Raw genomic sequence first — 26,652 nt, forward strand, 5'->3', positions numbered from 1 at the left:
TAAATGGCAGTCCCAAATGATGCAAAAGAAGCTTCCACATGAGCGAATAATGGATTCTTATTTACATAAGAACAGAAACAAGTTATTGCTGCTGCCTGTTCTGCAAAAATATACTTTTTACATCCTAAAATTAAATGAGAATTAGAAGAGCCATAACAAGGGAAAACAAGGGTAAAATTTCTTAAATTATTTTTAAAAATAGAAATGAGCATAATTTTAATATTTTATATTTCAAATATATTTCCCTTCTTGATAAAAACAGTGGCATTTTTCTAACCAGCTATATCTAAATATGTATAGTTACCAATCTGGATGTTGGCAATAGATTCAGTGTGACGATCGCAAAGTGGACTCACACCCAAATGATATTTTTTTTCTATATCTCCTATAAATTAAAAAAAGAGAAGTATTAATATGAAGAATATCTATTGGTTAAATATATAATTAAAGGCTTGAACATACCTGTGCATTTCTTAGGAAAAACATACTTAATCCTCATGAGAGGACAGCTTCGCAATTAGTTCTTTTTAAAATTTTAAGTTATTTACACATAGAAGAGATTGCCAAGCTGATATTTTTATTTAAATGCAAGGTGTTACCCCAAGACTGTAATTTATAACACATTAATATACAACCTGAAAGGAAGGTTCATGAAATAAAGATTCCTGGATCCGGGTTTTAAATTACACACACAAAAGTTTTACATGTTCATATGGCCCTCCACACACGACAAGGATAAAGCAAGTTCAGGGAAATCTTTCTGTACAGCAAAATTCCAAACCTAATCTATCTATACTCATAAATGCATAAATACATCTGATCATTCCAAAAGAGGACTTCTAATTTTCAAAACAGATGCTCAATTTGTATTGATTAGATGTATATCTATTGTGAATTGTTACTAAAAATGTCAAGACTCTACTGCTAGACCCATATAAATTATTGAGTTATTTTATTCTTACGATGTTAAAAAAAAATGAACTGGATAGATTAATTATCACTCAATACTGTAACTTGCCTTGATGGAAGAATTCCTCCGTTACTTTTTCACTCCACTGCTTGCTTAATTCCCACGTCCGACATGGGTTACAAATATCAGCACATTTCAAAGCCATCTAGCAAACAAAACATTAATATTGTTTTAAGATATATACACACTTGACAATAATACCAAAGAACCAAGTGCAAGGACTGGATTAACCATAAATATAAATAAATAAGCCAGAAATATAATTCTCCTATTTTTAGATGTAAGAATTTATGAGAATAAAATGCTATTTCTTAATTGGTACCCTAATCTTGTAAAAATTGTTTTCATCAGAAATCTTGAGTATGAAAAACACGTAAGCAATGATGCCTTCCTAGGTAGCAGATTCACCAGTGATCTCCTTTTGGAAGGAGTGTGCGCTAATTGAAGGAAATTCTTTAGCTTGCCCTCAAGATTTAACCATTCTGAAAAACTACACTAGAATATTCATTTTTTAGTTTGACAGTCACATAATTTATCCTAGAAATAGAATGTTTCCAAGCCCCATTTTACCTGTAAAACCAAATGTCTGTGTCTGGTGTCTTCTAGGCATAAATCACCTCTATCCAAATGGGACCTAAACAAAGACAGATACTCATTCTGGCGACTGATGTCTGTGGCTAGTATCAGAGCACCTATCTGTGTCTCCATTTGTTGCCTGGAAATAGAGAAATATAAAGAGAAAATATAAGACTTTCAATTAACTATTTATTGATTTTTTTTCTTAACCATAATAATCGGAAGGCTTTATAGAACCCTAAAATATCCAACTATCATTCAATTTAAAATTTATCACACAAAAAATGAGTTTTATAGAATGCTTCAAAAAAAGCCATTAAAATAACCAAAACTAAAACCAAGAGTTTGTAGGAAAATACCAATATGCAAACATTCCAAAAGGAGAGCCTTTATTTTGCCAGCCAAGGTGGTATTATTTGCTTTAAAAAAAAAATCAATGTAACATTGGTTGTTTTTTGAGAAAGTTCCTTGCTGGGATTCTTTTGCTGGAAAATTCTCATGCTGAGGGTAAACAACTTTGGTTTGCTTTTTAGTGCCTGAGATCTGAAGGCAGAAGGAAGATTCAAATAGAAAGAATAATGGCCCATTCAACAGCTGACTCCTACAGACATTCTGACTAAGATGCCTGTTGCAATTCCCCTGAGCAACTTAATAACTGTGTTTTCAAGGTTAAACTCAAGAACCAATCAGTTATCTGTAAATGAATATCCAACTTTTCTGAAAGGAAAAAGGTAACATGTTAATATAAACAGCAAATACATACATCATTTATAAAACTGCCTCAGATCAATTAACAAGATAAACATACTTAAAAAAAATTCTTGCCTTTTGTTTTAATGGGCCATAGCAAATACTATCTCTGTATAATGATCAGTAAAGAGCTGTCAAATAGATAAAAAGACTCACAATATTGAATGTTAAAACAAACCCTAAATGAAGAAAACATTAAATAATGCTATTAGGTAGTATTCCTTATTTCCATTTTTATTAAATCTGAGAACTCAACAGGGTTAATCATCAAATGAAAAACATGATTTTTAAAAAGGGAATAATGAAGCAAACATTTTAATCTGTCTTAATTTTAAGAACCCATAATTTACATATACAGTGTGTTTAAGCAATTTTCGTATTTGTACTACAGCAAAAAATGATTTTACTTACCAGAAGTATTGTCATACTCCAAATGGTATCCGTGAATAAAGATTTAAAAAAATAAAAAATAAAGTCCAGCTTTTTTCTCATGGTCATTACACAAAACAGTTTTTTATACAGTTGTTTTAAATTATGAAAGGGAAACCAGAGAACAGCAAGTGGAACTTAAATTTTAATACTCAAACATATTTTTATACCTCACCACTTTTCTTGAAGTGGATGGTTTCAATCCACTTTCATGGTTTGCTGACGTGCATTTTCCCTCAGTGCAACATTACTAAAAAGCTTGTGTGTGGACCACACTATGGCAATGACGTGAGATTTTATAAACCATCACCATCGTGTTAGCCTTATTCACATTAATGTTTTTTATTAGGTTCTAAAATAGCCCATTTATTTTTTTTTCCTAAAATATTAGGGTTTTTTCCATTCATTATTATATCCTATAGCTCTAGAAGTGTGACTCCAGGATTATGCTATTGAGGACATAAGGCACTCTCTTTACTTTCTTGTCAGTTTTGAAAACTTCTGGGAACAGATTTTAATGAATCTATTTAATGTAATAGAATGTTTACATTCCATCCAATTTACCTTTATACCTAGACCTTAAGGTTTTATTCAGCTGAGTATGGAAATGTGTAATATCTATTTATGTAAATAAGTAGTAAACTATGGCTGAGCAATTGTGTATTTGAGTAAATTTTATAGTATTCAAACCCATGGAATAGTCTTTGATAAAAATAACTATCCATTAAAATGTTACCGACTATATAGTAGGATAGCTCTAAATTACTAAAATTGTATATAATTTATTAAATTTGACAAACACTGAAAACTGTGGAACACCTGAACATAACAATTTTTAAAACTTTATAAAATTACTTTGCCAACTTAACTTCTATAACCAGTAACAAATTAAATTTGTCTTAATCCAACCTACCTGCTTTCTAATGGCAGATGTGAGAATAAGCCTGATTCTCTCAATAAGCCCACTGCAGATCTCCAGTGGTGATTTTCCAGTACTGAGGTATTCTACAACAAAGGACGTTTCTGAGTTACTTAATGATACGTCTCTTTCTGGACATATCATTACTAACAATACTGTTAGCAATATTAATCTGGTTAAAATTCTAACATTCATTGAGAATTTATTTTCATTACTTTCATTTCTTCAAAATATGAAAGATTTTCTAGAATGCAAAAATAATAAATCTTGATGATAAAATTGCACTAACCTTGTATAAAGTTGCCAAGTAATGGTTAGTTTTAATAAGGAAAGGTTGATTAACACCTGGATGATCCAGATCATGAGTGGCAGCTGCAATTAAGCTCAGCAAGATATCCCAAGGAGTTACAGAATTGGCAAGCTGAAGTGTGACAAAAGAATAATGAATCACAGATATATCTAAAATAAGCTCTACGCCATCACAGTAGTTTTGAATTAGCAGCCAATGGTAGTGGTGGTAATCTCCTCCCCCTTCACGTCATTCCTCAGGTGGTTGTTCATTAGGTTCACCAAGCACATCTGCCAGGTCCTGATCTCATCACCACACTGGCAAAGCCATGATACAACAGTGGCCCTGCCCATGTGGAGTTTACAGAGTTCATCCTTAGGCCATTTCATTTTTAACAAGCTTAATTAAAATGGCAGCTAAAACATAAACCGTTCTTTTTGAGAAATAATGGCTTTAAAATGACAAACATAGTTTGGCACATTTTTATTACTGTAGCCATTACTGAACAAAAGATCTAAAATTTTAAGGGTGTTTATTTATCAACAAATTGGTTATTGGATTTCAATAATGTAATCTAAGATGTAAGGTTATTCCTTTAGTCCTGATGTTTAAGGAGGCTACTGAGTAATCATGTTAAGTGGAAGTCTATGTCAAGTCTGTGATAAAATCCTCCCCTAACGGATGGCTACATTCATAACAATGATACAATGTATTCATGTCAGGGAAAGCAATCTTGCACACCAGAAATTGTAACTTTACTCTCAATAATCATTACCAAACTTATTTAATAATCACAATAAATAAAAGTTTATGATTAGCTGACAAATGTTCAATGATAAAAAAGATCACCTTGACTATATCATCTGCTTTTCATGAAATGCCTCTCATTTTCTGGCAAACTTGGCCAGATTTGTGTTCCCACAGCACCTCATGACCTGCCACAATACCACTCATCAGAGCATGGTATTATTTAGGTTTACGTTAGGACAGTGCTGACTAAACTGTAATGATCCTGTGCTCTAACAGTGAAAATTTTTGAGCATACACCACTTATATTAAGTATATGTACTTATGGATTATTATACTGAACTAACATTTATATGTTATACAACAAAGATAAAAACTGAAAATTTTAAAAATGAGATAAAAATAATTTTAGATTCAAATTCTATTGTTTTCTTTCTCTGCTAGAACGAATCAATCATCTCTTTCTACTCCCTGTGTTAAGTTCATCTCAGTCAGAGAAATCACTGTCTGAGGGCTTGAATCTCCTGGAAAACTGTAAGCTACCTGGAAGCAGAGATGCATATTATTTATTTTTGTATCGCATATAATTAGTACACGGAGAAGGTCAATGAATAGGAGAAGATGAAGAAAATTATTTCCTCTTTAGGATATACAAAAGCATTGAAAAAATAAAGCATTCTAAAGCGCTGCTTACTAATCAAGATGAACAGAATGCATAGGATATAAAGCATACTGCATATAAAGCAATCTCCCCTCCTTGACATATACATGAATGGGCATGGGTGTCTATGTCTTATGAACATGTAATTTATTAGGCAGTATGCAAAGGGGTTACATTCTTATTGGCAGAAGAATAGACATCCTGGGAGAATACAATAATCCAAAATTAGACTGATTTAAAAAATTAATGTATGACTGCACATGACATCAAAACATTCTCAGGTATATTAAAGAGTTAACCATTAAAAATAGGAACATGACAATAAGCAACTGAATTCTCAAAAATTCTGTGAAGAGAAAGTAACTTTAAAAACAAATCACACATGCAAAAAAATATTTGATATAAAAATGTAACATTTCTGCTTGTAAAAAAAAACCTTTCATCAGAAACAAAATTTTCAATATTATAACAAAGACAAGGACTTCAATAACTTAACTTTTTAAGGTGGATTAAAAGACAGATGTTATTTCCATTCTGTGATTACATCTGTTAAGAGCTGACAACAAAGAAATGTCAAAAAAGAAACTACAGATTATTTAACATATGTGAAGGTCAGCTTTTACTTGTATCTGCAAAGCCATCATTAGGGTTCTTTTTCAATAAAATAGAAAACTATTAAGTGGTGAGTTTTGCTGTGTTCAGTGAAAAGCTTACTGTTTTCACTGCCTGCCAGCCCTTATCATTTCCCATTGTAATGGTTATCACAGTGAGTTTCGTTGGTGGTAGCTTTTTTTTTTTTTTTTTTTTTTTGGCTAAATTGGCAAATCAAAAATATAGTAGAAATAGCAGAAAGAAGGTACCTGAGATACTGGTGGCTTGCTGAGGGTAAAGAGGAGGTGGCACTATCATGGAGGAGAGCAGTTTAGTGACATAAAATGTCCTGAATCAGTATTGTATTTTTATTTTTCCTAATGATGCTACCTCTGAAAACAGATTCTATTTTTTTGTGACAGAGTCTTGCTGATGCCCAGCCTGGAGTGCAGTGGTGCGATCTCGGCTCACTGCAGCCTCTGCCTCCCAGGTTCAATCGATTCTCTTACTCAGGCTCCTGAGCAGCTGGGATTATAGGCGCCTACCACCATGCCTGACTTTTTTTTTTTTTTGGTACTTTTATAGAGATGGGGTTTCACCATGTTGGCCAGGCTGGTCTCGAATTCCTAATCTCAGGTGATCCGCCTGCCTTGGCCTCCCAAAGTGCTGGAATCACAGGCATAAGCCACCATGCCCTGCCTAGTGAAGACAGATTCTTGACACATTATGTCCATCCTGAGAAATTACTGAAAGAAATGAACCTCCCACACACAGAAGGCAAAAGGACAAGGCGGTCCTCGCAGGGCTCCTCAATCCCCAGGCCATGGACCGGTACTGGTCCATGGCCTGTTAGGAACCTGAGAGGAACCAGGTGCACAGCAGGAGGTGAGCTGCCAGCCAGTGAGCATTATTGCCTGAGCTCTGCCTTGGAAGCAGTAGCTTCTCATAGGAGCACAAACCCTATTGTAAACTGTGCATGTGAGGGATCCAGGTTGCGCACTTCTTTTTTTTTTTTTTTTTTTTTTTTTTGAGATGGAGTTTCGCTCTTGTTGCCCAGGCTGCAGAGTAATGGCGCAATCACGGCTCACCGAAACCTCCACCTCCCGGGTTTAAGTGATTCTTCTGCCTCAGCCTCCCAAGTAGCTGGTATTACAGGCATGCGCCACCACAACCAGCTAATTTTGTATTTTTAGTAGAGACAGGGTTTCTCCATGTTGGTCAGGCTGGTCTCGAACTCCCAACCTCAGGTGATCCACCTGCCTCAGCCTCCCAAAGTGCTGGGATTACAGGTGTGAGCCACCAAGCCCAGCCAGCACACTTCTTATAAGAATCTAATGCCTGATGATCTGAAGTGTAACAGTTTCATCCTGAAACCATCCCCCTCCCCATCCAAGGAAATATTGTCTTCCGTGAAACTGGTCCCTGATGCCAAAAAGGTTGGCGGCCACTGCTCTAGAGGTCTAAAAACAGAGAACTAGGCTGGGCATGGTGGCTCATGCCTGTAATTCCAGCACTTTGCAGGGCCAAGGCAGGCAGATCACTTGAAGTCAGGAGTTCGAGACTAGCCTGGCCATCATGGCAAAACCCCATCTCTACTAAAAACACAAAAATTAGTTGGGCATGGTGGCACATGCCTATCAGCTACTTGGGAGGCTGAGACAAGAGAATCGCTTGAACCCAGGAGGTGGAGGTTGCAGTGAGCTAAGATTGTGCCACTGCACTCCAGCCTGGGCGACAGAGTGAGACTCCATCTGAAAAACAAAACAGAACAAAATAAAAACATAAAAACAGAGAACAGTTAGAGTAAACCCAGCCAATGATAAAGCCCATATACAATATCATTCATTAACAGCTCATATTGACCAAGTACCTACCATGTGCTGGTGCTGTTTTAGGGGACAGGTAAATATTAGGGAATAGACAGACAAAAATTCCTGCCCTGGAGGCCTGACATTCCTGTGGTTTCCATGTCAGGTTCCCATATGTTTTACAAGTAAGATTCTGGGGGCCAAAATTCCTATCTTACTCATATTTTTGTCACTAGCAATTAGCATCTACTCAGAGCATGAATAAGTGTACATCTGCAAGAAAGGCAACTCAACCATCAGTCTTGCTGACATCAAAGGGAAGGATGCGGGGGCCAGGGAGGGACGTGCAGGGCCAGGCTCTTTTGTCAACTGCCAGGGACAAGTAGAGCAAGGTTTAAAGGTTCAGTGCTAGAGTGGGTTTATCTCTGGGACATGTAAGCGTAATTCTTATCCAGACTTAGTTTAAGTATAGTTATTAAGTAAAATAGCTAATTTAAACTCATTATAGAAACATGAAACTAAACATTAAAATAGGAAACAAAGGGAAAATCACAATCTCTTCAGCTGACAACTATGAATGTTACCAGTGTCAATCAATCAAGGAGACTTTGGGCTCAACTTGAACAAAATGCTTTATAATCCACATGAGTTCAGCCTTGAGGACATAAAAAATAAATACTCAAGTTAGTGACAATGCATATATAGAGAGATGAGTTTGTCTCCAAAATTTCCAGTAATTTCTTTGGCTTGAAATATTTTTTTTTCCACATAGACAAGAGTCCAAGAATTAGCTCTTCCATATAAATTATAAGGTATAAAAACTGAAAACAAATTTCTCACAAAATATATATACTTAAGTCTATTTACTATTCCCTCTGTACTTGGACTTTCTTATGGCTGACTCCTTAGTTATGTACTGTCCACTTAAGTGACTTGTGATCACCCTATCTAAAGTTGTAAAACTCTTGCCATCCACCTGGTCATTCTCTATATTATTATTATTATTATTATTGTTGTTGTTGTTGTTGTTGTTGTTATTTTAGACTGAGTTTCACTCTGTCGCCCAGGCTGGAACGCAGTGGCATGATCTCGGTTCACTGGAACCTCTGCCTCCCAGGTTCAAGGGATTCTCATGTCTCAGCCTCCCAGGTAGCTGGGATTACAGGCACCCGCCACCATGCCCAGCTAATTTTTGTATTTTTAGTAGAGACGGGGTTTCACCATGTTGGCCAGGCTGGTCACAAACTCCTGACCTCAGGTGATTCACCAGCCTCGGCCTCCCAAAATGCTGGGATTACAGGCGTGAGCCACCATGCCCAGCCACTAACATATTATTTTGATCAAAATTCTATTTATCTATTTGTTTAATGACTGCCTCCCCCACTAGGATGTACACTTCATGAAGACAGGGATCATTCCTGCCCTGCTCACCACCACATTCCTTGCACCAGGATAGAGCCTGGCATGTGGCAGATGCTCAAAGAGTATAAAACGTGATGCTGTGCAAAGGCTCAGGAGTAAAAGAGATACAATCTTCAGGCATCTATCTAATCTATCTATCTATCTAAAGATAGGTTGTCACCCAGGCTGCAGTGCAGTGGCACTATCACTACTCTCTGCTGGACCTCCCAGGCTCAAGTGATCCTTTTGAGTCAGCCTCCTAAGTAGCTGGGACCACAGGTACACACCACCATGCCCATCTAACTTTTTATTTTTTGTAGAGATGGGATCTTGCTATATTGCCCAGGTTGTTCTCAAACTCCTGGCTTCAAGTGATCCTCTTGCCCTGGCCTCCCAAAGTATTGAGATTACAGGCATGAGCCACCGCACTTGGACCTACTTCAAATTTTTCAGAAGTCATTTTTAAAACTTTGAGTGACTCTGTTTTTTTTTCTTTCTATCTTTTTTTGAATAAAAGAGATGAGGTCTTGCTATGTTGACCAGGCTGGTCTCAAACTCCTGGGCTCAAGCAAGCCATCCGCCTCAGCCTCCCAAAGTGCAGAACTACAGGCATGAGTCACCGTGCCCAGTCCTGGGTGACTCCATTTTAAAATGTTCACTATGATAAGGGAGAAGGGAAATGCCTGCATTGTAGGGCTTTGTGATTTTATCTATATCCTTAATTGAAGCCTTGGGTAAAGTGTTCACTGAGTATGTTAAGGATGAAAAGTGTTTAAGTATTATCAGAACTCCACAGGCAAAAAGTGTTCAAAATCATGTTTTTATTAATTTTTGTCCACATGCATCCCCACCCTGCTCACCTGGCATCACCCAGATTTCCCTGCCCCTGGCTTGGGTTGGGTGTGCCCAGAGGGAGATGGGAGTGCAGAAGCCTTCGCTGACCAGGTTAACCCTTTTGTGTGCTGCAGAGAACTTATTACCATCTTTCCACTTACCAGATTGTATGGTGATTACTCATCAATCTCTCCCACAACATTCTCAAACAGAGGATGCAGTCTTGGCCCAGAGATTTTTTTGAAGTTTAATTTAAAAATTGGGGTGGGCAATAGAGTGAGACCCTGTCTCTACAAAAAATTTAAAAAATTAGCTGGCCTCCAGCTTGAGCCCAGGATGTCGAGGCTGCAGTGAGCCATGATCACGCCACTGCACTCCAGCCTGGCAACACTGTGAAACCCTGTCTCTTAGAGAAAAAAAAACAGTTGGGTGGTTGGGAGTATACATTTGTCAAAACCGTACACATAAAATGTATGCACTGTATTACTGCATGTAAGTTCTACCACAATAAAGTTGATTTTTTAAAAGTCATGATATATATACTAAAAAACGGGCATTTTCACATATTCTATGATCTCTTAAATAATCAGAAGACTAGCTGTGTTCTTAAGTTGGCATCAATGGGCACAAGCCAGTTTGGTCATCCTGTTTCCCGCCTAACACCTTAGCCAGAACTAAGATCTAGGGAGAGAGCAGTTTTGAAGTAGAGATGGGATAGGCAGACATAATTGCAGAACTGCCAGGGATAGGAAATGTCCAGGGGCAAACATGGCTTTCATTAACACCTGCAGACAATGATTCCCAAATCCATACATTAAGTCTGATTTCTCTTCTATACTTCAGACTCTTTTATGTAACTCTATACTAGACCTCTATATTAGGATGTCAAATACATTTAATACCACGGATCCAAAATGGTGCTCACTGTCTCTACAAGCCTTACCCCCAAAACTTGTTCTGCTCTACATTCCTCCTCTCATGGAAGACTTCCACCTTCTACTCAACTGCCCAAACCAGTCTTCACTGACTTCTGTTTCTTTCCCCGAAATGCATTCACCACCACATCCTGTTCATTCTAATTCCCAAGAGAACTTGCAAACTATCCACATCCCTACTTCACCAAGGCCACTCTGCTCTCTTCCATGGAGCACTGAAGTAACTCCTGGCAGGTGTTCAGGCTTTTGGTCTTGATACGATTTATCTTCACATCACAGCCAGGATAATTTTCTAAAGTCTCCTGCCTCCTCTCTGTAGCTCCTCATTCATTCACTGAGTCAGACCAAGGCTGTCCCTGCCCACATGGAGCCCATGTGGAGCTCAGTGTAAATGCCAGCAGTCGAGGTTTCAAGTGACCTGGCCCTTGCTTGGGCTTCTCCAGCCTCTCTCTCAACAACCACCCAATTCTCTAGCTGTTGCACTCTGAAACACAGCCAGATTCAGAAACTTGATCCAGCTAGATCTCATTCTTGTGAAGGAAGTCTGTGATTTTCAGTCAAAGCAGTAACTTCAGGAGAAGTATGTGAAAGTAAATCAAAAGGAATTTTCTTATGATTTTCACCTGAAATCAATGTCAACCTCTTACCTTAGGTTCCTTTAAGTAACAGTGCATGGCCTGAGTAACATCCGCAGCGTGGACTGCGTTATGGTAAGGATTTTGACTGTGGTAATCTTCTTGAATCATAACTGCATCAAAGAAAGAGATCCCGATTTTATTGTATATGAGCAACATATACAAGGACAAAAATTGTGATAATTATGAGTTACCCACTCATACTTTTCATGTAGCTATCGGCTAAAATCGTGCCGATTCGGGCAGATGATAATCACCTCACAACTCACATGTATACCAAAAGAATCAATATCAATTTGACTCTCTATGCTATCATGGACGAACAGACTAGGCTTCGGGGTGGAGCTGTGCCCCCTGCCATCAACCTACTTGACAGCCCTAGCAGCATAACACACAAATCCAGTGGTCTCAAAGGAAAGCGAGCCTACCTGTGATGGGGAAACACAATCGCCGAGTGAGCGGGACAGACCATCAGAATTCTGCACTTGCTTCCGTCCCATCCTTTAAAATAGCCTTTCAGTACCCTTGGTTAATAGTGTTTTTTTGAGACAGGATCTCACTTCGTTGCCCAGGCTGGAGTGCAGTGACATGATCATGGCTCATTGCAGCCCTGACCTCCTGGGCTCAAGTAATCCTGCCACCTCAGCCTCCCAAGTAGTTGGAACCACAGGTGCATGCCACCATGTCTGGCTCATTTTTTTGTATTTTTTATAAAGACAGGATCTTGCCATGTTGCCCAGGCTGGTTTCAAACCCCTGGGCTCAAGGAGTCCACCTGCCTTGGCCTCCCAAAGTGCTAGCATTACAGGTGTGAGCCACTATGCCCCACCTAATAAGCTATTTTTGTATGTGGTTATTTTTGAGATGGAGTCTCGCTCTGTCACTCAGGCTGGAGTGCAACAGCATGATCTCAGCTAACTGTGCAACGCCCACCTCCTGAGTTCAAGTGATCCTCCCGCCTCAGCCACCCGAGTAGCTGGGATTACAGGCACCTGCCATCATGCTCGGCTAATTTTTGTATTTTTGTCACAATGGGGTTTCACCATGTTGGCCAGGCTGGTCTTTAACTCCTGACCTCAGGTGATCCACCCACCTCGGCCTCCCAAAATGCTGGGATTACAGGTATGAGCCACCATGCCCGGCCGTATGTGTTTTATAATTTATATTTTTAGTATAGTAGTCCCCTCATATTCTTGGGGGATATGTTCCAAGACCCCCAGTGGATGCCTGAAACCACAGATAGTACCAAACCCTATTTATACTATGTTTTTCCTATACAAACACACCTACGATAATGCGCAATTTATAAGTTAGTCACAGTAAGAAATTAACAATAATTAAAATAAAATAGAACGATTATAACAATAAGCCAGCATCACAACTCTTGTGCTTTGGGGCCATTATGAAGTAAAATAAGGGTGACGAACACAAGCACTGTGATACCAACATGGCTGATCTGATAACCAACACGGTTCAGGATGCAATGAGATTTCATCACGCTGCTCACAATGGTGTGCAATTCAAAACTTATGAATTGTTTACTTCTGGAATTTTCCATTTAATATTTTCAGACTACAGTTGACCATGGGTAACTGAAACCACAGAAAGCAAAACCAGAGATAAAGGCGGACTACTGTACAGTATTTCAGGCATACTACTTATAATTAATACACATTAAAAAGTTTCTCAAGGCCAGGTGCACTGCCTCACACCTGTAATTCCAGCACTTTGGGAGGCTGAGGCTGGAGGATTGCTTGAGGCCAGGAGTTTGAGACCAGCCTAGGCCATTAGCAAGACCTTGTCCCTACTAAAAATAAAAATGTAGTCTGGTGTGGTGGTGCACACCTATATTCCTAGCTACTCGGGAGGCTGAGGTGGGAGGATCGCATGAGCCGAGAGGTTGAGGGTGCAGTGAGCCATGATCACGCCACTGCACTCAAGCCTAGGTGACAGAGCAAGACTCTCCAAAAGAAAAAGCTTCTCAAAAGCCCTATGTAATAAATTTATCTGTTTTTTTTTTTTTTTTTGCCAGAGTTCTAAGTAGAAGTCTGAAGTCTGAGTTAATATTTCTAGCTCTTCATTTGGCTGTACATTCTTGGTATTGAGGCTTTTTTTTTTTTGAGATGGAGTCTCGCCCTGCTGCCCAGGCTGGAGTGCAGTAGCGTGATCTTGGCTCACTGCAACCTCCACCTCCCAGGTTCAAGTGATTCTCCTGCCTCAGCCTGGATGAGGTGGGAGGCTGGCTGGAGCTTGGGAAGTTGAGGTTGCAGTGAGCCATGATCATGCCACTGCATTCCAGCCTTAGCAATATAGTGAGACCCTGTCTCAAACAAACAAACTAACTAAAAACACCTGAGTTATTATTTTCTCAATTCTCCCAAGGACAGTATAGAGCCAAAGCCATTCCAGATATGCTGCACAAAAGATAATCCATTGAAGCCAATGGATTCCTTATGGCTTTAAGGCTTAATTCTCTCATAAACCTGTTCTAGTGGCTTCCACATTAGCGGCAACAGGATGAAGGGATAAACAGCCAAGTATTCATATGAACAATGTGCAAAGTGGGGATATGCATCTTTATAATTGCCAGTATAGCTACTGGGGCTACTCACACTATATTAATTATAAACTTGAGAATTTACTGCAAAATTGTATCTGTAGAGTCACACAGGCTTCTGTTTACCTAGATAAAGCAGTTGCAGATTAGCAAAAATGGTTATATTAATTATTATTATTATTTTTGAGACAGAGTCTCATTCTGTTGCCCAGGCTGGAGTACAGTGGCGCGATCTCGGCTCACTCTCTCTCTCTCAATCTCACCTCTGCCTCCTGGGTTCAAGTAATTCTCCTGCCTCAGCCTCCCGAGTAGGTAGGATTACAGGCACATGCCTCCACACCCGACTAATTTTTGTATTTTTAGTAGAGACGGGGTTTCACCATGTTGGCCAGGATGGTTTTGAACTCCTGGCCTCAAGTGATCCACCTGCCTCAGCCTCCCAAAGTGCTGGGATTACAGGCGTGAGCCACCATGCCCAGCATGTATGAAATATTAAATGTCCCCACCAGCAACATCTTAACTTATTTTATAGTTCCACAGTTTTACCATTTTCCTACAGTAATAAATTACTTCCTGAATAATTTGTAATTTCTCTCTACTTAAAATTGAAAGATTTTAAAAAGGATATCAAATCAATGTGATGGTCTCTCACTATTAAGTATAGACATACCAGTGAGATATTTAGTGTTAAGTTCCAGACTACTAAAATAAAGTGAATATTGCAATATAGCAAGTCAAAATTTTGGGTTTCCCAGTGCATACAAAAGCTATGTTTACACTATAGTCTATTAAGTGTACAATAGCATTATGTCTTTAAAAAAAAACGATGTATACACCTTAATTTAAAAGACTTTATTGCTATAAAATGCTAATCATTATGTGAACCTTCATTAAGTTGTAATCTTTTTGCTGTATATAAGCAAAATTGTATATAACCAAATAAATTACAAATTAAGCTATCTCTTGATCTGGGCACTATATGAAATATCACAATGAGGGTCAGAAAATGAGACCCCAAAATATGCTGCTTTGGACTTCAAACTCAGAGCAGCAAATGCAGGAGAGGACTTTCTCAGAAGTTCTCCTATCCACCTAAAGGACGGACAAAGACTTTACCAGGAATCATGAATTCCTTCCTCAGGTAGAACCAACTAGGAGAAACTGGTGCCTATTACAAGAAGGAAGACTAGAGTTGATATCTTGTGCCTCAGCCTCCCGAGCAGCTGGGATTACAGGCGTGCGCCACCATGCCTGGGTAATTTTTTTGTATTTTTAGTAGAGATGGGGTATTTGCCATGTTGGCCAAGCTGGTCTCCAACTCGTGGCCTCACGTGATCCACCCGCCTCAGCCTCCCAAAGTGCTGGGATTACAGGTGTGAGCCACCACACCTGGCCCCAAATAATCTTTAAAGCCTACCGTCAAAGAGATTCTAGGGGTCAGAAAAAGAAGAAACCTAACTGCAATATACCTGCTCTTTTAAAGTTTTAGCCTTCAAAAATTTAGAAAAGTACAGAAATTGTGTCATCTTTGTCAGCAATCTGTGGCCAATGTAAGGAACATTGCAAAATGAAATCAAGTATCCACAATTTCCTGTATCTGTGGCTCTGTGACTTTGCAGCCTTTGCACCAACAGGTGTAGTGCATCCCTGGTCTGACTTGCTGTGGCCACTTGCTGCATGCAGAAGTGAAGGTGGGCCGATTCTGAGCCCAGGGCTCCAGCGGCCTGGGGATATCAGCTCTCTCGGAAACCTGCCACTACTGTTTGAACCAGCTCGGCTAATTGTAAAATAAATAATTCTTTTTTGTTTTTAATGTAAATCTATTATGGTGCCAAACTCCTCTGCTTCTTTTAAATTTAACAGAAGACTATGTAGAGCCGAGATGGGTCAGGCCTGGTATCCTAGCTGAGGTCTCTACAAAACCAACATGCAGCCCACCTGTTGCTGTCTGCAGGTGCACAAATGAGCTCACCCAGACCAGACCAAAAGAAGCATTTAACAGCCCCACAGATGCAAGAGCTAAATAACTGTGTGTTGTTTTAAGCCACTAATTTTGGCTGGTTTGTTATAGAGCAATAGCTAACCGATATAACTGAGATAAAACTTAAACAGGTTCTTGTATAAATGTAAATCTTGTTACTGTTAATGGGTTAGAATCACTTACCTAAAAATCTACGAAGTTTCATCATATCTAAATGGAAGTACTCAATTAATCCATGAAGACTAAATAAATGAAAGGTTAAGCTTACTAGACTATTTCCTAAAAAGAAAGAAGAGACATTACATTAGTAGGAAATACAAGTCAACACAATTATATTATGCTTTGAAATACAGATTTTGAATATAAAACATGGAAAGAGTAATAATTCCCACTTTTTGTCTATCAAAAATATGCATCTTCTTACCAGTTATGAACTTTATATGTCACATCTTGTTTCATTATAAGAAAAATTTAATTTTTGTTGTTTTACTTTTCCACAACCAAAGAACTGAAAACTAGACATTTTCAAATAGATTAATTTTTTAAAGACACCAAAATAATGAGAATAGACAATAGAAAACTTTAAAAATTGTCCCACATAGTAACCTAACTCAGTGTGGCTGCACCTGACCTCCCTCCTGACATTGCCTCTGCCATCTTGCTTTCACTGAAACTGACTGCCCCAGAGCACACTTCCTTGGCTGCAGCCTTGTTAGGTGGAGAATGTGTCTATTCTCATCCATACAGGGTTAGGAGGAGGCATCAATGACCTCAAGATCATCAGGATTAAAAACTCTGAACTCAGCCACTTGCTTTTCCAGAGTAGCTGCAGAAAATCTGAGAGTTGCTTGGGGGGGTGGGGAGGGGGAATCACAAAACTAGGCAGAATATCGCTACAAACTCGTAGTCAACACTGCCCAGCAATCATATTGTCTTTCCAGTGAAATGGCTCTTTCACGTTTTAAAATGCCTATTTTCAAGCCTTTTATGCTCTTCTTAAACTTTCAACATACTTAGTTCCCATCCACCCCCTCATTCTCCACAGCCTCATATGTCACAGAAATAATACAAGCCCTCAAGTTTCCTTTTCTTTCTTTTTTGAGATGGAGTCCAGCACTGTCACCTGGGCTGGAGTACAATGGTGCGATCTTGGCTCACTGCAACCTCCACCTCCTGAGTTCAAGCGATTCTCCTGCCTCAGCCTCCCGAGTAGCAGGGAGTACAGGCACCCGCCACCAAGCCCGGCTAATTTTTTGTATTTTTAGTAGAGACAGGGTTTCACTTTGTTGGCCAGGCTGGTCTCGAACTCCTGACCTTGTGATCCGCCCGCCTCGGCCTCCCAAAGTGCTGGGATTTACAGGCGTGAGCTACCACGCCTGGCCAAGTTTCCCTTTCTTTCAAAAGCCAATCCATCCACACCTCCTCAGAGATATTCCTTGTTCTATCAGGTACAACTATCCCCACCCCACCCCACCAATCTCTCTCTCTTTTCTATATTGTCTCAACAAGCATCAGCATTCAGACATGTTCTAGATTCTCTCATCTCTGAAACAATAAAGAATCACAGCCTCTCCTGGCCCCCTCCAGTTTCACCTGCTCCATCCCCCTACAGAGCCGAGTTTTTGGAAAGAGCTGCTACACGCAATGGGGACTGTTTTCGTCCTCAACGTCCACTCCTTTGTCACTAACAAGTGGAGTCACACCAAGAATAGAAATTAAATTTGGAAAAACTACCATTTTTATGATGTTTCGTTTTCCCTTCCATGGTGTAACTCTCCATTTTTTATACCTCCTATTATACTTCTCAGTTTTGTAAACTTCCATAGGACACATATACTATATTATTTTAACAATTAAATAGACCACGTTTTAAATAGGCTACATATTAAAAAGTCTATTTTAAGTAGACTACATCCTTCACATAGACTCATAAATTACTGCCAACATTCAGATAATGCAATAAAATACACGATTCTAGTATTCTCTCGTCTATGATGACTCTTACAAAAATGTATAAAAGACATACTAGTCCCAAATTGAAAATTTATAATAATAATATTTATGAAGGATAATAAAGGACTGTTTGGTTAACCTTGTTATCTAAAACTGCCTAACCAACTGCCAACAAAAGACCACAGCTGATGAAAAAGTACATTAATTGGAGCATTATTTGCATAAGCAATGACAGAAAAGATGTGGCAGGCCAAAAGAGACTATTTTTAAAAACTACCTGACGTATCACCTTCATGTGGAAAGAAAAAAGCATTTCAAATCTTACATTTTAAATAAATTAAATGTTAAAATGTGTTCAGGTCCTGATATGCTCTATTGGTACAAACACGAGTCCATGTGGTGTGGAGCCATTTCTGAAGAAGTGAACAACGTGTCTGTTGCTATTGCTGTAACAACCATCTTCGAGTATATAAATATTTTAGAATGTTTATTCATTCTCTGTATATTTAGATTATCATAAGGTTCTCCAAATTGTTTTTCAAATGTAACAAAACAAATTACCCATTTCTAGGATGTAGAATAAGTTTTAAGAAAGCTACAATCTAATGGGAAAATACCCTCTTTTGGAATTCAGGCAAAGTGCAGTGAAGAAACACATGTAATGTCCCCACCAAAGGAATCTGACAAGAATCAGTCTCTTAAAGTGTACTACCCATATGTAATTGAAAAGCTGCATGCAAGATACCAACTGAGGATTATAATACCAGTGAGTAAGAACACAAGTCAACAAAATATTTCAAAACAAGAGATGCTCAGTTGTGTTAAACAAAAACCAGGCACAGAAGAACTTTTTAAAAAATGGAAATGGAAACACTTTCTTGAAAAAGAAAATTGTATTTTTAGAAAAGCTACCCACATAAAAATATATCAAAAGATAGAACTGCCTATGAAAGAGTGGTCCTCAATCATTTTTAGAAGGTGATCCCAGATGGGATCTGGTTGGAAGGAGTAGGCCACCCTGACAACGCAGGCCTGGCAGCTAGTGTCCTCATGAACCAGGTGGCTTTAGGAGTGACAAGCTTTTGCTATGTCGCATCACTTAACTCCCTCAATCCTACAAAAGGAACTCCAAATGCATCCTACCAGACAATAACTACTTCCCTCCTTGTAGCAGACAAGCTGGGAACGATTTGTCTTGGCACGAATCACTGCATTTTGCTTCCTCCTCTGCCTTGCTGTTCTTCCCCCAATATCAACTGGGAAATTACCAGCATAAGAAACACAAGAAAGCACTGGATCAATAAGCAAGAAGGGAAAACTATACACTTGGATACCATGAATGTATGTTATCCAGAATTCACTTCAGGTGAAGCAGTTTTAAAAGGAAAGCCATTCTCATTATATAATATAAGCTAAAGGAATTTTTTTCTGCCCATTTGTTCCCCAATAACATCTCTTTAAGTAGAAAATTCCTGAGCTTTTGAATAGCTGTAGTTAACTGAATGTATAAATCTCCACCTCTAAAATCAAAGGTGGGTAGCTAACCATGAGTGGTTTCTACTAAACCCTAATGATCTGGAATGAACCCTAAGGGGAAACTAGTTAGCCACCCTGTCCACAAATCCCATTCAAAGAGTGAGGTGATCAAAAGGAAAGCGAAGTGCTTAGTTAACTACTGTGGACTGCTGGCTATTTCTTCTGCCCATCCAGTGCACTGCTGAGCTCACGCCGCTTTCATCACCATGCCCCCAACTAGCAGAGTATGTACTTTTTAAAAATAAAATTTGGAGAAGAACAATCAACTATTTCAATGAGTGACAAGTGTCCCAGTAGACTAATAATAGGCTATGAGCTGTGAGAGTTTATGTAAGGCTAAACCTTGAAAATGTTAAGAGTGGCATTGTTTCATCTATATTTGCCTTGAGATAATACCTAAAATAATATTTGTGTTAAGTTAGGAAAGGGGAATTTCCCTGAGCAAGAAGAAGGTGGGCCACTTGATATTTCACTACCTGTATTTTCAAAAAGGAGAAGGGCCAAGGGAAGGCTAACTGTGTAAATGATATCAGAGCCTTTCCTGTGTGTACGGGCCAAGGTGGGGGCAGGGAGAAGAACAGAACACTTAATCACCAAGGGCAAAGGAAAAGTAGAAGAGAGATAGCGAAGGGGAGGAATAAAAAGGCAGGGAGGCAGGAGGGTGGCTCTGCTGATAAAGACAAACTTCACTGTCTTCACAATTTTGCCTAGGATCAGTCCAGTTTATTTTCTGTCAACACTGCATAAGCAAACAGAAGGTATAGACAAAGGTATTTCCACTAGGCATTGCCATACAGCTTACAGAGAATAATGGAGTGATACTAAAAGACCCACATTGATTCTCAAGAAAAATAAAGGTAATTTATTTGTTCATTTTACATATTTGGCATCCTTATCAAAGGAGCTTCATTCCAAAGCAATAAGAAAAAGCAGGTGATTTCAAAGTACAGCAGTGATTTCATTATTCTAAAGTCAGCACTGACTTCCTCTCAGTGTACTTTCAGCTCTGGGGCAAAACATTAGCTGAATTGCTTTTTTTTTTTTTGAGACAGTCTCGCTCTATTGCCCAGGCTGGAGTGCAATGGCGCGATCTCAGCTCACTGCAACCTTTGCTTCCCAGATTCAAGCAATTCTCCTGCCTCAGCCTCCCATGTAGCTAGGATTAGAGACATGAACCACCACACCCAGCCAATGTTTGTATTTTTAGTAGAGATGGGGTTTTGCCATGTTGGCCAGGCTGGTCTTAAACTCCTGACCTCATGTGATCCACCAGCCTTGGCCTGCCAAAGTGCGGGGATTACAGGCATGAGCCACCACGCCCAGCCTAGCTGAACTGCTTTTACCAGTGAATAAGAACACAAATCAACAAAATATTTCAAATAAGAGATGCTTAGTTGTGTTACAAAACAAAACAAAACAAAACAAAACAACAAAAAAAAACAGGCATGAAGGAACTTTTTTAAAAATGGAAATGGAAATGAACACTTTCTTGATAAAGGAAATTGTATTTCTAGAAAAGCTACCCAAATAAAAATATACTAAAAGGTAGAACTGCCTAAGGTTTAGTGGTCCTCAATTGTACCACCAATAATTATGCCCACAATTTTATCCTAAATAAGAGTGATTCCCTGTTCCTTTTCCTACAGAACATGTTTCTGTCCGCAAAGAGAATAAGAAAACATGACCCCTCCATCCAGAACCAAACTAAACTCAGGAGTGATTAGAATCACCTGTGGGCATTTTCCCCCAAACCACCCATACTCTGTAGATTCTGATAAGCGCTCTTAAAGAAGCTACAGCTCTTCCCCATTCCCTATCTGAAAGCAAGGAACCACTGCTTTGGTCAGGAAACAGGCATACAACATCAGATGTGATTATAAATGGCCACAATCTAAAAGAAACCAAAAAATAAAAATAAAAAACATGAGATAATAATGTTTACTTTGGGTTATTAATAATAGCAGCGGCAATTGCCAACCAATCTGCCAAGTCATGATGATGATGATACTAATGATGATTTGATTACTTTTAAGGACAATAATCAAAACATAAAATTATGAGATTGATTCTGTAGGCTTTTAGAAAAGTCACTTAAAAAGAGAAAAAAATGATGCTCCCTGATATGGTTTGGCTGTGTCCCCAGCCAAATCTCACCTTGAATTGTAGTTCCCATAATTCCCATGTGTTGTGGGAGGGACCCGGTGGGAGACAATTGAATCATGGAGGTGCTTTCCCCCACACTGTTCTTGTGGTAGTGGATAAGTCTAACGAGATCTGATGATTTCATAAGGGGTTTCCCCTTTTGCTTGGCTCTCATTTCTCTCTTGCCTGCCAACATGTAAGATGTGCCTTTCACCTTCCACCATGATTGTGAGGCCTCCCCAGCCACATGGAACTATGAGTCCATTAAACCTCTTTTTCTCAATTACCCAGTCTCGGGTATGTCTTTATCAGCAGTGTGAAAATGGACTAATACACTCTCTTCCAGCAGAGGGCTAACAACCTTAGTACAGTAAATGAAAGCAACGCACCAGCGGCTGCACCATCAATGCAGTAATCTAGACTACATTAACTTGAGCAAGTCAAATTCTTCACTTACCATTTGTTAGTCTATCAAATAGAAAGATATCAAAATTCCAATTTCCAACTTTTTCCAGCATACACTGAAATGAAAACCAAACATTTCTACTGTAATTTAATTTCAATAACATTGTCTTTTGGAGATATTCCATAGAGAAGTTAAAGAAAATGTAAAGTGATTGATTTACTTTAAAAAATACAAGTATCATTTTTCTTTTAATCATGACTTTTTCAACTGGCTCCAAAAAAATGCCAAAGGGATAAACTCCATTTGAAAAATGAAACATTATTTTGTTTTTCAATTAATGAATGCACAGGAAGGTTATGTTTCCCAGCTTATTGCTACAGTCTTGCAAACCTTTAAGAATTCTAGTATCACTTAACATCACAGAAGTGTGGTTCAAATGTTGTATGGTTTAGAAACTAAATTGCAAACAATCTAATAAAAATAAGTGACACTACTGAGTATTTACTGTATTCCAGGTACTGTTATAAGTTACTCACTCTTTTATTACTAAGAACAACACTATCAGATGTTGTTTTCTTTTTTCTTTGAGACAGGGTCTCACACTCACTGTCACCAAGGCTGGAATGCAGTGGCACAAACAAGACGGCTCACTGCAGCCATGACCTCCTGGGCTCGAGCAATCCTCCTGTCTCAGCCTCCCGAGAAGCTGGGACTACAAGCATGTGTTACCATACCTGGCTAATTTTTTTTTTTTTTTTGTAGAGACAAGGTCTCACCATGCTGCCCAGGGCTGGTTTCAAACTCCTGGACTCAAGTGATTCTCCCACCTTGGCCTCCGAACGTGCTAGGATTACAGGCATGAGCCACTGCACCCAGCCCAGGCATTGTTTTCAATTCTCATTTTAGGGACGTAGAAACAAGCAAAAAATAACTAACTTGCTCAGCTATAAAGTGATAGAGCTGGGATCTTAAATTAGGTAGTCTGTTTCTAGAACCTAGGCATCTGACACTGATACCACACCATGCTTAAATTATTTGTTATTCAGTTTTTAAAAAAACACTTCTAACTTATGGATATGTATTTATATTATCTAAATATGCTTATAAAATAACACAATTTACTACATTAACTTTTAGGATAATGTGTACTTCAGCCAAGCAAATAAATCCCACAAAGGCCCTAAAAACCAAATATTTTTATACCATACATTCTTAACCTGAACCTTTTGTGGACTTTTTCTAGAAAAAAACTTATATTTTATATCCAAAAGTTCACTGTTGTATACATTTATGAATACACTGACATGAGCAACACTAAGATACTACTAGTAGAAATCATTAATTATAACAGTACTAATAACAACAAATGACATAGAGATCAATATTCTCATTCTAAAAGGCAGAACTTGTAAACATTTTAACATTTAAAGCAGGCATGAACGCTTTCCACTGATTTCTTTTACTAAACAGGGAAGTAATTTTCTTCACTTTCATGTAATTGTAAAGAAGACACCCCAGCTTTACCTACACAACTTAAAAACTTATCTACACAAACTCAAGAATCTGGTCTGTAAATATTAAGTCAAATATAACTTAAAATACATTGGAAATTTAATATTATTTAAAATCCTCATTTGGTTAAAAACAAGCTCATTTAACCCTGATGTTCAGTAAGACATTTCTTTTAAATTATATAAAGAGGAAGTAAATAATGCTCACAATCAACAAGTTTAACTATGATACATCTAAACCCTCAAAAATCTCTCTCAATGCAAGAGACTATCAAGACTCATTTGACTGAAAGTCACGAGACCTTTGTGAAAAGATGTTATTAATACACACACACACACAAAAAAGAGAGAGAGACCTAACTTTCTGTGCTGGGTTTACCTCTAACCAGCTGGGTGGGCGCAAACAAGTCCCTCGTGCTCTCTTGGACTCAGTTTCTTTATTGATGGAATACGGACATGATTAGATCAGGTAATCTCTAAGTCTTCCCAGCATTACAATTCTGTGAGATCTTATAGTTTAATGTTTTATTGATCTCCTTGTTACGTAATGTTATAATAATAAATGAAAACATTGTCACTACTTTAGTTATTTCAGAAATTTCCCTTGCTCTGTAATGGCTAATTATAAAACAAACAGCTGCTCTAAAGAAAAAAACCTGGAAAATAGGCTCAACTGCTTTTCATAGACAGAGAAAAAGACTCTATAAATCATTACTGTATGGGGAATAAAGGCCTTCAGTAAACTTATCAAAAAATTAATGTTTTCTTAAAAAAACTATACACACCTTGGCTTGTCCATTATAATCATCATCTAAAATGTTTAGGGAATTTGAAACCGCAGTACCACGAAAAAAGCGTGAAGATCTAAGATATCGCTGGAAACTTAGTAGCCTTCTGATATTCCTTGCAGAGACAGACACTTCAATTTCAGATTGAGCTGAAATAAAAAGAATAAAAGGTAAGTATAGCAAGTTAAAATTATACACATGCTATCTTTGCAATACCACTTTTAGTTATGTACAAGTATTTTTAAAAATTCATTTAAATAATTATACCACATTTCCATGAAAGAAGTGATACTTTATTTCTATTTTATTTTATTTTTTTAAGTGAGTTCTCACTCTATTACATTTCTATTTTCAATGAAAGAACTAAGGATGAAGGTCAATGGCCAATTTTGACAGCATTTAGAAAGCTAACGAAGACTGGTGGGATTAATAATCACGGTTTGTTTTTTTTTTTAACTTTAAAATACTATAACCTCTTACTCTTTTGCTTCAATATACCACATAAACATGGAGCAGAAACATGGAAAAAACCTAGTTTCAAACTACTAGAAAAGCCAGGTCCTAAGTTACATATGAGATTTTAACAATTACACAAGTAAAACATTTCATATCCCAATGAGGTATCATTTCAAATATTTACTTAAGATAATTAAGAAGAAAAGGAGGTAGAAGGGGGAGCAAAGTGGTTTATATCCTGTAAGTGTTCTAAAGGATAGGGATAAAAATTATTAAGGTGATATGCTCTAGAAAAGATGCAGTTCTACAGTGGAGACTGGAATGTTCTCTTTCAGTGAGTCTAACATAGCCATTTTTTCCCTCTAGTGTTAGAATAAACCAGAGTTCCCTGGATTGGGCACCAGATGAAATGACAGATCTGGGGTAAAATCTGTCTTGCAGGGAACATACGTTATCTTTAGATTCTAAAATCAAACCAAATTCAGTAAAATGTTCACAATATAAAACAGGAAAATCAAGACTGAGGATCAATAAATCATCTCTTAATTTAGAATCACCAGGTGAAATGGAAGGTAATCAAACATATTCTCTCTTGCATATCCAGTCACTCACTCCTCTATTAACCTCTAGCCCTGTGTTTCCTTATGTGTATAATGGCAATAATATCTAATTTAAGGGGTGCTGGATTAAATGAGATAATATATATACAAGTCAGAGACACAGCAGGTGTTAAATAGTAGCCATGTCGAGGGTGGTAAAATTGATGCTGCTCCCACTGCTTGCAGGTATGCTACTAGTAATTATCAGAAATTCTGAATCTGCTCATCTTGCTCTAAATAAAAGCATTTCATGGCTCTTCATCATCTTAATATGAACTTCATTTCCTTAGCCTGGAAGAGAAGGCTTCACGCTCCAAGTCTGGCTCTTTGTAGACTTGACTCAGCTGTCACCTTCCCTGGGAAGCACATTCAGTACACTGCCCCTATCTTGAAGAGGCGGGAAGCACCCGCTCTGGCTTCCCAAAGCTCCCTGTGCATTCATCTATAATAGTACTTCTGATATTATAATTAGTTTTTTGTCTCCTTGAACAAATGATGACTTTCAGAACAGGCATGAACTATCTTTTTTACCTCTGTATTCCAAAGCCTAATAGTAATGCAAAGCATATAGTAAGTAATTGTAAAATATATTAAATAAATGCATACTATTTTTAAAATATCTGATGAACTCTGAGGTTCCCATACACACAAATAAACAGAAGTAAAATAATGCACACTGTTATGTGATTTACTTCTCCCATTTTTCATTCCAGTGAGTAAAATGCAAGTATCTAAAACAATTATGAATCTTAAATTTCTGATCTTTACCAATGTAACTTACTTTAAAAAAAGGACTAGAACCAAAATAGTAAAAACTATTAATATCAAGTGATGATTATGTTTAAACTAGAATTGGTCTGTTTGAAGAAATTTGGGTAGATTAAATTCTATGAAAGCAATGTTCCAAGTGCTTTGTAAAAAGAATCTCATTTAGCCATCAACAGCTTCAAAAGATAAATAGTATGCCCCACTTTACACATGAGAACACTGTGCCTACAAGAAATTAAATAACTTTCCTAAGGTCACATACCCAATATAGGGTGACACCTGGATTAAAAAACACAGATCTGTTTATAAAGCCTGTTTACTCACAAGGGTTTTTAAATTATATTTCTACAGTATTGTTTATTTACTGTCCATTACAAAATTCTGTGTACATCCTTATTCAAAATAGTCTTT

General features: G+C 38.0%; 2 protein-coding genes and 1 long non-coding RNA gene across 13 annotated transcripts in view; 2 read left to right on the plus strand and 1 right to left on the minus strand.

The window, feature by feature from the left end:
* Positions 1–26,652, plus strand: part of MTFR1 (mitochondrial fission regulator 1) — a 134,710-nt gene that overhangs the window by 79,348 nt on the left and 28,710 nt on the right. Inside the window, exon 9 of one of the 8 annotated variants that reach the window (NM_001413084.1) lies at positions 22,882–24,377. The exons of 5 other annotated variants lie outside the window; for them this stretch is intronic. The gene's annotated coding sequence lies outside the window, so the exon portion shown is untranslated. Of the gene's footprint in view, positions 1–2,079; positions 6,021–22,881; positions 24,378–26,652 lie in introns of those variants that run through there. 2 more of the 8 variants (NM_001413076.1, NM_001413077.1) reach the window with 2 other exon arrangements.
* PDE7A (phosphodiesterase 7A) overlaps positions 1–26,652 on the minus strand; it is a 127,731-nt gene that overhangs the window by 8,903 nt on the left and 92,176 nt on the right. For all 4 annotated transcript variants that reach the window (NM_001242318.3, XM_011517540.4, XM_017013538.3 and 1 more), the window contains 9 exons: positions 24,416–24,567; positions 22,171–22,234; positions 16,266–16,361; positions 11,558–11,658; positions 3,934–4,065; positions 3,639–3,730; positions 1,541–1,685; positions 1,019–1,115; positions 305–385 (listed from right to left, as the gene is read on the minus strand). In NM_001242318.3, the coding sequence (NP_001229247.1) occupies positions 305–385; positions 1,019–1,115; positions 1,541–1,685; positions 3,639–3,730; positions 3,934–4,065; positions 11,558–11,658; positions 16,266–16,361; positions 22,171–22,234; positions 24,416–24,567 (960 nt within the window). The remainder of the gene's footprint in view (positions 1–304; positions 386–1,018; positions 1,116–1,540; positions 1,686–3,638; positions 3,731–3,933; positions 4,066–11,557; positions 11,659–16,265; positions 16,362–22,170; positions 22,235–24,415; positions 24,568–26,652) is intronic.
* On the plus strand, positions 12,292–18,980 carry LOC107986949 (uncharacterized). Its single transcript, XR_001745946.2, has 2 exons — positions 12,292–15,356; positions 18,670–18,980. It is a non-coding gene; the product is annotated as an uncharacterized LOC107986949 (long non-coding RNA).

The sequence above is a fragment of the Homo sapiens genome, chromosome 8, assembly GCF_000001405.40.
Source record: "Homo sapiens chromosome 8, GRCh38.p14 Primary Assembly".
NCBI classification, from domain to species: domain Eukaryota; kingdom Metazoa; phylum Chordata; class Mammalia; order Primates; family Hominidae; genus Homo; species Homo sapiens.